General features: G+C 45.7%; 1 protein-coding gene across 8 annotated transcripts in view, besides 2 other annotated features; it reads right to left on the bottom strand.

The window, feature by feature from the left end:
* IGSF3 (immunoglobulin superfamily member 3) overlaps window positions 1–14,765 on the bottom strand; it is a 93,358-nt gene that overhangs the window by 29,205 nt on the left and 49,388 nt on the right. For 2 of the 8 annotated variants that reach the window (XM_047419052.1, XM_047419042.1), the window contains exons 3-7: window positions 12,478–12,855; window positions 10,163–10,573; window positions 4,340–4,729; window positions 2,890–2,946; window positions 22–423 (exon numbers count right to left, since the gene is read on the bottom strand). In XM_047419052.1, the coding sequence (XP_047275008.1) occupies window positions 22–423; window positions 2,890–2,946; window positions 4,340–4,729; window positions 10,163–10,573; window positions 12,478–12,855 (1,638 nt within the window). Of the gene's footprint in view, window positions 1–21; window positions 424–2,889; window positions 2,950–4,339; window positions 4,730–10,162; window positions 10,574–12,477; window positions 12,856–13,626; window positions 13,710–14,765 lie in introns of those variants that run through there. The other 6 variants (NM_001542.4, XM_011541315.2, XM_047419070.1 and 3 more) reach the window with 4 other exon arrangements.
* Window positions 4,611–5,110: an enhancer, noted in NCBI's record as "H3K4me1 hESC enhancer chr1:117150835-117151334 (GRCh37/hg19 assembly coordinates)". NCBI's record gives its function as "activates a minimal SCP1, AML or CMV promoter by ChIP-STARR-seq in naive H9 embryonic stem cells {active_cell/tissue: H9 hESC(naive)}" and the evidence as "EXISTENCE:reporter gene assay evidence [ECO:0000049][PMID:30033119]".
* Window positions 10,475–11,045: an enhancer, noted in NCBI's record as "H3K27ac-H3K4me1 hESC enhancer chr1:117156699-117157269 (GRCh37/hg19 assembly coordinates)". NCBI's record gives its function as "activates a minimal SCP1, AML or CMV promoter by ChIP-STARR-seq in primed H9 embryonic stem cells {active_cell/tissue: H9 hESC(primed)}" and the evidence as "EXISTENCE:reporter gene assay evidence [ECO:0000049][PMID:30033119]".

Consider the following 14,765-nt stretch of genomic DNA (forward strand, 5'->3'; position numbering starts at 1 on the left):
CCAGTCCCACCGCTCACTCACCAAGAGCTGTGATGGAGATGGGAGTGCTGGCCCGGCGCTCCCCAACAATCTGCCACTCGCCATCCACTGCCCGCACCCATTCAGTCACATGGCATTCATACTGGCCCTCGTCCTCCTTCCTGCTGTTGAAGATGCCCAGGCTGAACGAGTTGGGCTGCACCTGCTCCATCTGGACGCCCCCAAAGCTGCTGCGCTCCCAGTAGGACGAGCCTGGCTGCACGGTGCCATCCCGGTCTAGCCACATGATATTGCTGCGGCGGTTCTGCCTGTCCACAAGCTGCCAGATGACAGAGAAGCGACCCTGCGGCCTGCCTGCCGTGCGGACACTGCAGGAGAAGCGCAGGTCCTCGCCCTCAAGGATGACGCTGGCATTGCTGGCCACCTCCACGGAGATGCTGCTCTCTAGGAAGAGGGAGAGAGAAACACCCTGGAGGCTTTATGGTCTCCACAGCGCCCTCCCCACAGAGGAAACAGGAGAAGGGGTGCAAATGGAATCATATTCAGGTACGGTGAGCCTCAGAGGGTCAAAAACACTCTGACCCTAGTTGCTGCAAGCCCTGGCTGGTTCTGGGCTTTGCTCCCTGTGGTTTTAGATCTGATAATCTAGGATGTTCTTTGCCATGTGCAGAGAACTGTGATAACGAGGTTCTAAGACCTGAGCCTGAATAAGAACCTAAGAAATACAACATAGTGGCATGATGTTTAGGGCATAAAACAATTTATTGGGTAATCTATTCAGCTGGAGTTCAGGGTTTTTCAAGTTGAATTTTCAGCAAGAAGAGTAACTCCAAAATCCTACTTCACTTCACTCTTCCTACCATTCGGTACTACAGCAGTCAAATAAAAGCTGAATATCCATAATGTGCCATTTGAGTCCTTCAGGACAATTTAGGAAATACTGGGAAAAAAACCAACAGTAAGTATTGGGACGATAACGTGTGCTTAAGTGTGGGTAATAAGGGAGCACAGATGGTCTAGTTTTGCAGAGTGTGTGAGGAGCGGGCTTTCATTCTTTCATTAACACACAGGAACAAAACAAAGCCAGCAGCTCGTCATCCACCACTCTCCCGCCTGTCCAGTCAGCCCTGGGGCTCCTTTGCTCTCTTTCTAGAAACATTTGGCCAATCAAAAGTTTGGGATAAGGATTCCACTCCCTTCCCTGTCTCATCTAGCCTCTGCTGCTCACTTAACTATCTGAATTCACTCAATCAAATTATTTAAACTCGACATGCCTCAGCCTCTTCTTCTGTAAGACAGGTAGAGAGCCACCTTTAACTGTAGAATTCTTTAAATATTAAAAAGTAAATGAGATGATGCATATAGATTCACCTAACACATAGTAGGTTTTCAAAAACTGGTCATCATGATCATGATTAATTTTACTATTCCACATAACTCTTTGTTTTTATAAACATCACAGATAGCCTAATATGTTTTAATTATACATGTAGTATTTTGTATAATTATCTATATTGAGTTCAGAAGGTCTGTAAGTATTAAAGAACACAAAGTAACTAATTTGGCTCCAATTTTTGGGTACCACCCACATTAAATACATGCAATAATTTTAAACCAATTAATTAAATCAAATCCCAGATTTTAAGAGGCACACCCAATTACCAAGAGAAAACACACACATACACATAACAATGCATTTGAATCAAATCTTTTCTCTCCTTTATTTCCCCAACAAGCAGAAACAAAGACGAGCACTGAGCCTCCACATGTAGCTCTTATTATAGTGAGGATGCCTGCTATCCATTCTGGATTTGCTTGTTTTATGTGAAAAATAAAAGGTCTGGATGGGGCAGGGAATAGCAATTTTCCTAGGAGGGCAACCTCCCCCAGGACTCATACCAGGATGATTCATAGAGATGATCAGGCTCCTGAACAGTCACCATCTATAGCACTAATGGTTAAGGGGATGGATTTGGAGACTTCCTAACTCTGTAATCCTGTGGTTCTTCCTTAACCTACCAAAGCTCCAATTTCTCATGTGCAAAATGGAGATACTAATAGTGCCTACTTCTTAGGGCATGACATTGAGAGGATCAGATGAGGTACTTATTTTTCATCATCATTAATAACAACAATATTCCTCTTTAGATTAAAGACTCATCCCCACTGTTATCAATTCAAAATAAGGGATTAAAAGGGCAACTGCAGCATCAAGGAAGAAAATCCTTTCACTTGTATTAAGCAGAAGAATGACTTGCAGGACCTCACTCTCATCCCCTACTGTCATCCCAGTGGACGCTTATCCAAGTCCTGGCTCATTTATTGAAAGGGCTACTGTTTGGTGGTGTCTGTTGCTTGAGCAAGCCTGGAAACCCACATAGTTAGAATGTGGGGCTACAAGAAGAAATGCTATTTTATTATAGCAGCTGAGGCAAAGGCAACTACAGACCTGGTGCCTCACTGCCCACTAACACTATTTACAAGAATTTCCAGGCCTGAGAAAAGGCAGCCGACAATTTTAAACTCTCTGGATTAAGTGAAAACTAGGACAGAACTAATAAAAATCTGAGTACACATTCACAAATGAAATTTCAAATCAGGAAGTTGACGGTGTAGCACAGGCTAAGCGCAGGGCGGTGGGTGTGGAGTTAGAAGCAAATATTTCCTAATGCAATGCAAGCTCAACCACTAACTGAACAATCAGCTCTGTCACTTCCTGTGTGGTGCTCTGATTTCTTCATTCATTAGATGGATATCATATTGGCCTCTACGAGGATTTGAGAGGTGGGAGCGGAGAAGGAGATGATATATGCAGAAGCACTTTGGTCTCTTAGGAGGAAAAGCGCCATTAAAATCCAAGGCATTGTCACCATTACCGATGTGATTGTTGTTGTTCTTCGGCAGACTTACCCAAGTGGCCTTGGGACAGGAGCTGGTGGTGCTGGGGGACTTTAACTACCCAGTTATCTGCTGGAAAAGCAATATAGCAGGCCACAGATCATCAAACAAGTTCTCAGAAGGGGTTGGGGGAAATCTTAGTACAAAAAATATAGGAAGTAAACAGCGTGGCTGCCCTTCACTTGATCCTTAGAAAACAATGAGGAATTAGTTGCAGATTTAAAAGTAGAGTCCGTGGTTAAGGCAAGCACAGACTGACAGGAAAATAGTAAAGACAGTGGGCATTCAATTCAATAATTTCAGTTGTACAGTATTCAGCGAGCACCTACTCTATGCAAAGCACCATGCTAGGCATTGCAGGGCGGAAAAAGCTAAGAAACAAAAGAATTTCAAGATAATTAGGTATGTGTGTGCATGGTTTTTAACAAAATAATAATAAGCATAAAAAGAAAATAATCCAGTTGATGAGAAAAGAAGAAAAGACTGACAAGAGGACCGCTGTGGCTACTTGAAGAGAAATATCACACTTGAAGAGAAATATTTTAAATATTAAAACATATAAATAAAAAGTAAAGGAAATTATTACAAGGCTCAGAGAAAGAATAGTTTGAGCAGCTGAGACAAGGTTAAAGGTTAGTCTTAAAACTTTACCACTTGTTTAAAATCAGAGCATTATAGGTTTTTATTCTCTTTACTAAAAACAGAACTATGGGAGAATGAGATTAATAAGAATATCTTGATACTATGAATGTTTAAACACAACACAAGCAAACACCAGTAGTTTCTGGAATCCCTAGCAATGGCCACTACCCACCCACACAAGGCCAGTCTACATGAAGGCTGGGGAGCCCACTGAGGCAGCCTCAGAAATCAGCTAAGCTTAAAAGGCTATGCTCCAGGAAGATGTGAGAGGTCCCATCCACCGACTTTTAGAAACACAATTTCAACAGGGAAAAGCCATTTAGGGAAATGCCAGCCTTTATACCTGAAAAACCCAGATGGCAAATCCTTAATAATGCACTTTATGATTTAAAATCCTCCCATAAAAGACCAACTCTCCTTAAGTGAGATTTCAAGGCAGGCATCTACCCACTTCTTCTGGGACTTGATTCCCACACAAGAGCAAACAGCTTTCTGGGATTCCTGGTTTCCCTCCAAGCTGAGCTGGCACTGCTTGTGTATGCACAGGGCTGCTAGCAATCAGATAGGCCTATGCCCAGCCCTAGACTGCCCTGATTCTGGACACCCCTGATCCTGATCCTCTGCTATGGGGAGCCTGCTACATGTATGCAGGTGGGCTACAACAGGGAAGAGAGGCTCAATGGTTTTTCCCCCAGCTCTGCATTAACCTCGAGGGTTCCATCTGCCTCCCCTCACCTTCACCACGCTATTCTCTCTCCCCCTACCTCTCCTAAATGATGCTGAGCCAAAGGAGAAGAAAGCAGCACATCTCTCTACTTACTGAGGGGGAGGACTATGATGGGGATGTTCTTGGGACGCTTGCTCTCCTTATCAATGAATTCCCCGGTCACGGTTTTCTCTCGCTCAGTCACCCGGCAGTTGTATTTCCCGCTATCTTCCTGGCGGAGGTGGTAGATCTTCAGCACAAAGACACTGTCGCTCTCTTTGGCCACCTTAAGCTGTCCCCTGGCTTCCCGGTGAGCAAATTCGCTGTTGAGGACAGGCACAGCGTTAGGACCCATGGTGGCGATGAGCGAGCTGTTGAAGGCCCAGGAGACAGCAAAGTAACGGTCGGGAACATTCTGAGCCTCCAGGATGCATCTGAACTCCACCGGCTCGCCCACCGTGTGCAGCCGCTTCTCTGTCTCCAGCCGAACAGTGAATTCTTTGTCTGAGAGAACAAGTAAGAAAAGAGACACATCCTGGGTGAATGAGGGCCCCAGCCAACTAAACCACATTAGCACATTCCCACTATCCTTCCTCTTCTTTACAATACTAACTGCGGGGAGGACCACAGCACTTAGCTTGAGAGTAAAATCCAACTCAGACCCAGGTTATCTAAGGTCCAGAGAAACGCCTGAATATCACAGAGAGAATTCAAAACTACTTCAGCCCAGACGGTCTAAGCAAACTGTTACCCCAGTTAAGACCAATGGGGCTCAGTCTGAAGCTTTAGATGTCTTAGATGAGACCCCCAGGTCAGTGAGAAGCTACTAATATCACTCAAATGGTAGATTACAAATATCTAGCCTTGATATATGCACCCAGAACTCTATTTAAGCAACAGCATTATAAACATTTTCAGCAGATATTGTAAGACTTACCCCACTGAGGTCTGTGGGAAAAAATTACAGAGTGGCCTAGGTGCTGGCCCAATCCTAACAAATGCTCAAAGATGACTATATTAAAATTCCCTCTCTACCCCCCGCCATGTGAATACTAGAAATAAGATGTAGGTATGACAAACCCTAACAGAATTACATAGAAAAAATAAAAACTAATGTCTGTTCACTAGTTTACCACCTGTCAGATCAAATCTCTAGTCAGATTTCAATGGAAGTAGGTACTTTCCCAGTGAAGTACCTACTAAGTACTTACTTTAGTAGGAAAGTACCTACTTTAGTGGGAAAGTACCTACTAAGTACTCACGCCTGGTTAAACCTTAGTAGGTACTTTCCCACTGAGTAAGTACTTAGTAGGTACTTTAGTAGGAAAAGTACCTACTTCTGCTGAAAGCCAGACAGCCTCTGAAATGATTACTAAACCCAAGCAGCCTCCTAAGATCTAGGTGTTTTTTTAATTTTTATTTATTTACTTATTTACTGTGACAGGGTCTCGTTCTGTTGCCCAGGCTGGAGTGTAGTGGCATGATCGTGGCTCACTGCAGCCTCGACTTCCCAGGCTCCAGCCATCCTCCCACCTCAGCCTCCGGAGTAGCCACCATATCCAGCTAATTTTTGTTGAGTTGGGTGCTTAACCAGGCATGAGGGGGTGACCAAAGAGGGGCTCATTACCACTAACAGCATCATCACAACCTGTGTACCAGTGTACAGTGGCTATTAATCTCATTAGACAGCTATCGTATCTCATAGGCACCCACGGCAGAAGTCAGGGGGAAGAAAACGGAGTTAAGGGTTAGAGACTGGAGCTGTGACCACTGCCCAGTTCTAGCTCTGTTCCTCTAAAAAGAACACCGAGGTGGAAAAAATCCCATGGCAGAGACGTTTGAATTCCATGTAGATTCATTAGCTCTGACCTTGCCTGCCTTCCCTAGACTGGCATGTCTAGCCTTTCCCACTATCTTCAAGATCTTGCCCATTCATCCCGTCCTAGGCACTCTTCAAGCAGATGAGGTTTCTGTTTCCCCAAGAAAACATAAGAATCATGCATAAGCAGCATCCACATTCTTCTTTTCCAGCCCCAGCTCAGCTTTACCCCTCCCGCTCCTCAGGCTCTCCAGCCCCTCCCCCCGATATAGGCCAGTGTCCTGCTGCAAATACCCCTTCTTTCCAGTGACCTAACTACTTCCTCTAGCAGCCAAACTTCCTGACAGGGAAAACCACATCATCAACTCCAGGGCCTCCCCTCCAATGAAGTAGCTGCTGTCACAGCTTCTAGCTCCCAAGAGACCAGTCTTAAGAGGCATGGATTGAAGGAAGCACATTTCACTCTGCCACCATCTGCCTGGATGAACACACCCATATGGGACAGTCCCCGTGTTATCTGCTGGATATTATCTCTCAGGTCAACCCAGTTAGTCATTTATAACCCAACATCAATGACAGAAAAGCACTCCTTCCACATAAACACCACTGGAGCTGTGCAAGGGGTACCCTAGACCTCAGACCTTTCCGTTGCTCCAGGTTAGCCTGGCTGTAACTCTGGCTTTCTTCTTTCGGCGGCCAAAGACTCTTCTCATCTCAAGGGAATCCCCCCATGCCTTGGTGACACCTTCATGTTCCCAGGTTGAAGACACAAGATTTACCCACATCACCCCCGTTTCTGCCCTTGGTTATGCCCAGTCAATTACATCTCTAGAAACTGACCTGTGCTTTTTCCAATACCCCTTCCACTTCATCTCACTGAAATTAGGCTTCACTGACTTAGCAAATGTCACAAATGATCCACCCTACCCCTACCCCCATCCTAACCAAAGGCTTTCCTCAAGCAGGTTGAGGCCTCTGAGCCTGCTCCATGATCCCTTCTCTCCTGCTCTTCTTCTTGCTGGCCTGCCCACTCTGTTCCACTCTCTCACCTGCTTCTCTGGTCACCTCTTACTGCTGCTGTTCTCCCAGGTCCTTTCCCATTTTTACCCCATGGGCTCTTCCAGGGCCCTGATCACTCTCAGGCTCGGTCTCTGAGCCCCAGACCCCTGTGTCTGAGGACCCACTGGGTGTTTCGCATACTGAGCATCTCTATCAGAGTCTACCTGATGGATGGGCTCTTTCATTAGAATTTACAAAAACAAAAGGCAGCCAATGCTGCCACAAATGCAAAAGTCCCGCATGTCCTCATTATTGTTCCTTCCCTCCCACAGTTCAAGGAACCCCCAGAGCCCCAGTCCTAGCCCCTGGACTTCTAGACAGTTGGACCCCTCCTTCCACTTGCTCTTTATTCTTTTGCCTCTGGCACCCACTGACCTAGCCTTAGCTCTTATTAGCTCTTTTCTACCTGGTCTCTTGGCTTCAGACTCAACAGATTTAATCAACCTCCAGGTGGCCTCCATGGGTTTTTCTTTCTGAAACCCTGATCTGATTGTGTTACTCCCTGCTTAAAAATCTCTACCTCCTCTCCAACTGTCTGCAGCAGAGGTTTTCAAACTTTATTAAGAAGAGGACAAAGGAAGGGGACTTTTTATTCATACAAAATCTTCTGCTGCCCAACATAGTTGAAGCAAGAGGGGACCACCCAGGCCCTCGCATGCCTTCTCCCTGCACTCCTGGGTGCACATACGTGCACATGAACACCAACACACACCCATGTCTAACCTCCTAGGCACCTTTGAGGGGCTTCCAGGGTTCCAAGAACAGCTTGAAAACTCTTGGCTCACAGAGTCAAGCCCCGGCTCTATATCACTGCATTTGGGGCTTCGGGGTCCCTTTCCTCTCTCATCACACACATCTGGAACTCAACATCCGGAACTAGTCATACTTGACTCCTTTCTGCTTGGCAAACATATCAAACACTTTTGCACTTTTATGCTTCTCCTCCTGCTGACTCCTCAAGCTTCCAGACTCAGTTCAACTCAAGAAACTTATTGGTGTTCCTGGATTTGTCTTATCAACCATCCCATTCAGAGATAACTGTGGTTGCAAGAACACTTCCTATTTCCGGTATTCCCAGAGCACTCTATACAAATGCTATCAATGCACTTAGCACATTTTACTTGTCCATTGGCTCTCAGGTCTGCCTAAGTGCAGGGACCAGTGCTAGTCATCTTTGAAGCCCTTAATGCCTATCACCATCACACCTTCAATGCTGTGGAGACTGGCTACATGTTTACTGAAATAAACTAAGAAGGGTAGAGTTGGAGATGCAACTGCTGAACCTAAACAGCACAGGAATGCAGGGTGAAGTCATCAACTTTTTTTTCACTTAGTTTTCCTTTTGCTGGCTTAGTCTAGATACATTTTCAGGGTAAATTCAAAAAGTTCTAATTCCAAATTGGTAAGATTAAAATAAAGAAGATTAACTGATGCAACCTAATTTAAAAGCATTAAGACTCAAAATTTGGCCCAAATTTTTGAAGTTGATCTTAAAACTATCCAGGAAGGGAAAGGATAAATATAAAATAAAGCCCCTTGGATAGATTTTTTAATATTGAAAGATCCAGAAGCTGCTAAATGTCCTACAGAGCAGATAAAGTGCTCCCTATCCCTACCAACCCCTACGGTAAAAGATTTCACATCCATTAGATGACTTATTAAAGTGATGTCCAGAGAATTGCTTCTGCCCTAGAAGCTTTGCTTGAAAAAAATGTAGATAGCAGAAGAATCACCTGGGAAGCGTGCCGGAAATCCAGCTTCCCAGGTCCCATCCCAGGAGCCTCCAATTGAAGACTTCTGGGACGAAGCCCCAAAATGTATACTGTTAGCTGAGTCTGAAGCATTACTCTAGAATGGCAGAGAAAGTATGCAAAGACCCAGACAACTGACTGCAGCAAATGGAACAGGGAGCCCAAGAGACAGGTCCTGACGAAGGACCCCACCTGTACTGCAACTCACCAGGTCATTTCCCACAAGCCACACTCACTCACCAGAACCACCACAGTCCTCACCAGAAGTGAGCTTCCGCACAAGGAAAGGCTTTCAGGCCACTCATCGCCAACTTAGTGATGGCACAACAACCATGCTCCAACCAAAGCTGGGGGATCTGAAGGCCCATGTGAGAACCTGCCCTCAGCCCAGCAGAGGCAGCCAGCAACAGCTGTCAGCTCTGGCCTGGAGCCTGGTGGGCTCAGGAGACTGGGGAGTAGAGTCTGGGGCCACAGGAGATACCAAGAGAAGCCAGGGAGGGTTTCAGCTGGCTGTGCCACCATCATTTTGCCTCAGCTCTAAAGACATCATGCAACCTCCTCAGGACCCCTTCCAGGCCTTCACTTAAGAAAACATCTACAGTGGAACTTGGTACTCTCAGACTGGCCTCATCAACATGCCCTATGACTCCTCTTGAGCCCCAACATAAAGTAATCTGCATTCAGCATCTTCACCTGCAAAATAGGAGTACTACCACCTACTCACCTCACAGAACGTCTGGGGGATGGTGAAGTAATATGTGATAAAGCATTTTGGAAATTAAAAAATATCACCAAAGACTATTATTAGATAAAAAATAATAATTTAAGCCAAAATTTCTCTAGTTCATAATGTTAGACCTTGGATGGAAGTCTCATTATCTCAAATGGCTTCTGCAAATGAAACCAGATGGGTACCTGAGGAAGGCAACATCATTAAACGGGGCAGCAACTGTGCCTAATGGGAATGAAAGCCCAGACTTTTAAGATACAAATGGTTTCTCAGAAATCTCCCAATTTTTAAAATGAGTTTCTAATTCAAAAAAGTATAAACACCATGTAGGTCAAAGAAAGCATGTCTCTAAGCAGGACTCAGTCTGTGTGGCACCTGCCTGTGACTCAGGTCTTAGGATACCTATGTCCCACACATCCCTCAGCTCCCTCCAGCCGCACACAAGACCGGCTTTAACTTCACATGAAAACCTGCTGTCCTGGTAGAGGTGCCCAAAGAAGGAGTCTCCACATTCTCCCAGTATCTGACAGCCTTCACCACCAAGTAAAGGACAGGACAAGAGGCTCAGAGGGACTGACCAGTTGGCTGGACGTTGACCACGGCTCCCTCGGAACGCTTTCGGGTCATAGCATACCACGACCCATCCGGATCCTGGATCCACTCGGCGGCCTCGCAGTAGAATTCGCCCTGGTCAGAAGGCTGCAGGTGGAAGATGGTGAGGCGGAAGGTGGTCCTCCCCAGCTTGTCCAGCCGCACCTCCCCCAGGCTCTGCCTCTGGGCATATTCGCTGCTGGAGTGAAGCATGAAATCTCGGCTCAGGGAGATGACCTCCACGGGCTTCTCGCCAACTTTCTGCCGGAGCCAGGCCACAGACAGGTGGCTGTGCTGAATGGTCTCTGAGGCCACCTCACAAGTGAGCTCCAGCGGGTCCTGCTCCACTCTGTGCAGAGTCTGGGGCATGGCAGTGGTCTGCAGGGAGTCTGGGATCACTGCAACACAGAAATGTCCTGAGAGTGCAGTCACAAAGCCACAGAATCTGAGACTCCCAGGGCTAAGCTCCCATTCCACGCAGGCGTCACTGCACTGCGCCCCTAACAGTCATCCTTGAACCATCGATTCAAGGCCACAGACAGCCCCAAATGCACATAAACAGAAAGTTTTCTGTTTGGATTTGGAAATGCATTATTTTGGTGCTTACACTTACCTGTCTGGTATTTTAATAACACTTGGATAAAACATGGGGTGTATTTCATATTACATAATAAATAAACTCCCTGAAAATACTGTCTTTAAACAATTGTCTTATAGGTCAAATAACATTTGCTGTTGATTCTGGCACTTCTCTGAGATACTTTAACTTCACTTCTGACTGATCCTGTAATGGAAATGCCTCCTGGAACTTTTAGTTTTACATTTCTATACAACATCCTTTCTTTCCTTCCCACATCCCCATCCTGTAACTTACTTCAGCAATGCAGCCCTAGGAAGATGATTTTTTTAAAAAACCATTTTTGGTAGAAAAAATAATCATCATACCCTATTTTTAGTGGGTTTAATTTTCGCATAATTCATCGATCAAAGGGGTCCTCACTGGAAGGAAGCCACAGTCTGGAGAGATTCAGGCAAGAGAAGAGATTTTCTCCGTGATCCCTTGGTCAGAATCATACCCTGATCCTTGCTTGCACCTTTCTGGAGATTAAATAGCACCACCTTTCTGTCTGATGAGAGTACCCTAGTCACAACTAGTATGTGTTTTCTCCCTGTTCTCACCCAAGGCTTGGGTCTTACGGGTCTCCTGCTGGGAACGGCCAAGTGCGGTGGCTCACACCTATAATCCCAACACTTTGGGAGGGTGAGGGAGGCGGATCACCTGAGGTCGGGAGTTCGAGACCAGCCTGACCAACATGGAGAAACCCCGTCTCTACTAAAAATACAAAATTAGCCAGGCATGGTAGTGCATGCCTGTAATCCCAGCTACTCGGGAGGCTGAGGCAGAAGAATTGCTTGAACCCGGGAGGTGGAGGTTGCAGTGAGCCAAGATCGCACCATTGCACTCCAGCCTGGGCAACAAGAGCGAAGCTCCATCACACATACACACATACACACACACACACACACACGAAAAAAAAAAGGTCTCCTGCTGGGACACAGACTAGTTAGAGAAAGTAAAAATAAACAAATGATAGTATGTGTATTAATAAAAGAACTAGCAACACCCACTGCTTAGTTGTGATAATAAAAACTGGACATTAAGATAGGCAGAAAAACAGAACAGCCTTGATAATGGTTAACCCTTTGACACTGGCAAACACTATGACCAGTGCTGCCCACAATGGAAGCTCCTGCATCCCTCTTCCTCATGTTTCCTTCAGCATTAAGGAGCAACAAGGGAGACAGCCAGTTCATAGTTCCTTACGCATGGAGCCAAAGGACCTTCAATGTACAAGGTCTGAGCAAGGACCCACAGCCACATGTGCTTCCTGCTTCAGCAGTGCCCCGTGGGTCTCAGAGCTGCCCAAAGGCCTATCCTTCTGAGAGGTTTCTCCTCTCTTCCAACTGATGTCATACGTCTCATCTTCCTTGTCATTCAGATCATCAACCACAAACATCCTTGCCTTATATTTTCATATCCCTTTTCACCAGTTACAGGGTTAGTTAACTTATGAAATTCTTAACATCTGCATTAGACCTTTTTAAAGTTTCACCCTCAACCACCTATTATTTAGAAGTGAACACAGAAATTTAGTTTCCTTGTGCTATCTGTTGACCCCTAAAATATGTTGGGAGTTTTGGGATTTTTTTTAAAGTCAAATGCATGGCATAAAGCAAAATTACGCTACTAAAGAACTGAGTCAGGCCAGACGCTGGCAACGTGAAGACAGCTTCTCCTTACCCACTAGGTTCATCTTTGCACTGTAACTCCCAAAGTATTGCTTATCAGTGCTGGGTGTGTGGCATTCATACTCCCCGGCATCCCGGGCCTGAAGATCTGTGATGTGCAATAGGGTTGAGTTCCCCTGGACTCTTTCTATGAAGATCTTCCCTCCGCGGACGCGCTGGGTGTAGATGGCATAGGGGAAGGAAGAGTCCATGGTGCTGACGATCTGCACCTCTCGCTCTGGCGACGAAGGCAGGTAAATGGACCACTGGAAATTCTGCTCAGAAGGTCCCTGGTAGCCACTCACATTGCACCAGATAGTGATGTGGGAGCCCTCCGTGCGGTACAAGGGTCCTTCCTGAACGGTGACCTGCCGCTGTGCTGACACCACACCTACGAGGGAGAGAAACACACACAACATGCTTACTTACTTCTCAGACCAAAATGCAAAGTAGCCAGCAATCTCCAAAGGGTTTGTTATTTGTGTGACATGATAATAATATAAACAGCTTACTGGCCCTTTCAAAGGCGCTTTGTGATTTATAAATATTAATTAAAACACTCTGTGGTAAAGCACTGTCCCTAATTTGCATATATGGGAATTTGATCATGCCAAGATGTGCTTTTGTTACTTATTCAACAGCTGACCCTTGGGAATTTCATTTAGCCCCTCTGTTTGTCATTTATATGGCAGTTTTATATCTATTTATTAATGCTGTGTATGAAGTTTTTAATAAAATGAGCAGGAAAAGTTGAATCCTTGGCACAAATTCAGATGAAAACAAATAAAAGCAACCATCTAGAAATCTGGCTGAAATTAAATGCTTCTTCCTTGGTCTGAGCGCTGGTGGGAGGGAGTCCTGGGAGCACCTTTTTACTGGTGCTGCACCCTTCAATTTCCCATGTAGCTGCTCCCCAACACCACCCCAAGGGGCATTCCTTAGTTTCTCTTCCCTCCATAAATGGAGGCAGAGCTAAGCTCCTGCAGGCTGCTATCGTTTTAAGCTGAGCACACCCAAACACAAATGTGAAGGGCTGAAACAGATCCCTGATGCCCAGATTCCCACAAACTGACAAAGGGGGGAACTAACAGTGCCCAGCTAAACCTGTGACAAGGACAGTCAGGCTACCCTTGAGTTTCCCACTCAAGACTCCCCCGCTGACCTCCTGCCTTCTGGCTCAGATACTGTTCTCCAAGGTCACTTCTGCCTGCCTTCTCCATGTTCTTCTTAAAGTGGCATGGTGAGTTTAATTTCTCATTTCACGCCAACTCAACACTGATTGTGCCTGAGCCACTCAGAAGGCGGGAGGGGGCACAACCCTGCCTCTTCATTTCGGCAGTGGTCACGTACTGCAGGTTGTGAAAAGCGCAGGTGAGTTACAGGCGCAGCTTTGCCACCAATTAGAGCTGGTTGTGTCATCTCAGACAACTTGCTTTTCTTCTCCAGACCTTGATCTTCTCATCTATCACATGATTTCTAAGAAGGCCTTGGAGAGGACTAGCATGGGTTCCGATGCTGGCTTTGTCACTTATTAACTGTGATCTTGGATAAGCTGCTTAACCTCTCTAAGCCTTGGTTTTCTCATCAGTAAGATGGGGATAATAATGCCTGTCTCATAGGGTTATTGAGAAGATTTAATAACATCTGTAAAGACCCTACCACAGAGCCTAGCCCACAATCAGTCCTCAATAAAGAGCTGCTGGCTAAGACATATTTCTGCTGGAACATTCTGTGGCTCTGGATCCATAGAGGACAGGATTTGGCCAATGACTGCTTAAGGACATTTCAATGGCCCCTTGACAATGACACCATCGCTGGGCTGCCCACCTCCTCCCACAGCTGCAGCCCATTCTTGTGATAGCTTCCCTTTTCCCCCACAAATGGGAATGGCGGCTGCCCCGGCTATGCCTATCTGAAGTGGATCCAGCTGGTGAACAGCCGGGACAGCTCAATACTAGTGGAGTGCAGCTCTCTGCCCAGCCCAGCAGGGGACTGTGCCTCAGTGTAAGCTAATCTAATCTGCAAGATGACAGACCTCAAAAACGGCCCATACAATGAAATGCCCATGGCTTGCAAAACTTTAATTCATGCAGAACCTTTCCTCACAAACAAAATCTTACACAGAACCCCATCTTGGCTTCAGCAGAATCAGGAAAAATACAAAATTGGCAGGGGAAGGAAATAAACAGAACAAGTGGTATCTGAATTTATTTGATATATTCTGGTTGATGGCATTAATTATGATATTTAAAGTAACCATGAGGACAACTCATTAGTAATATCAGTATGTTAAAATATGAT

The sequence above is a fragment of the Homo sapiens genome, chromosome 1, assembly GCF_000001405.40.
Source record: "Homo sapiens chromosome 1, GRCh38.p14 Primary Assembly".
Classification (NCBI taxonomy): Eukaryota; Metazoa; Chordata; class Mammalia; order Primates; family Hominidae; genus Homo; species Homo sapiens.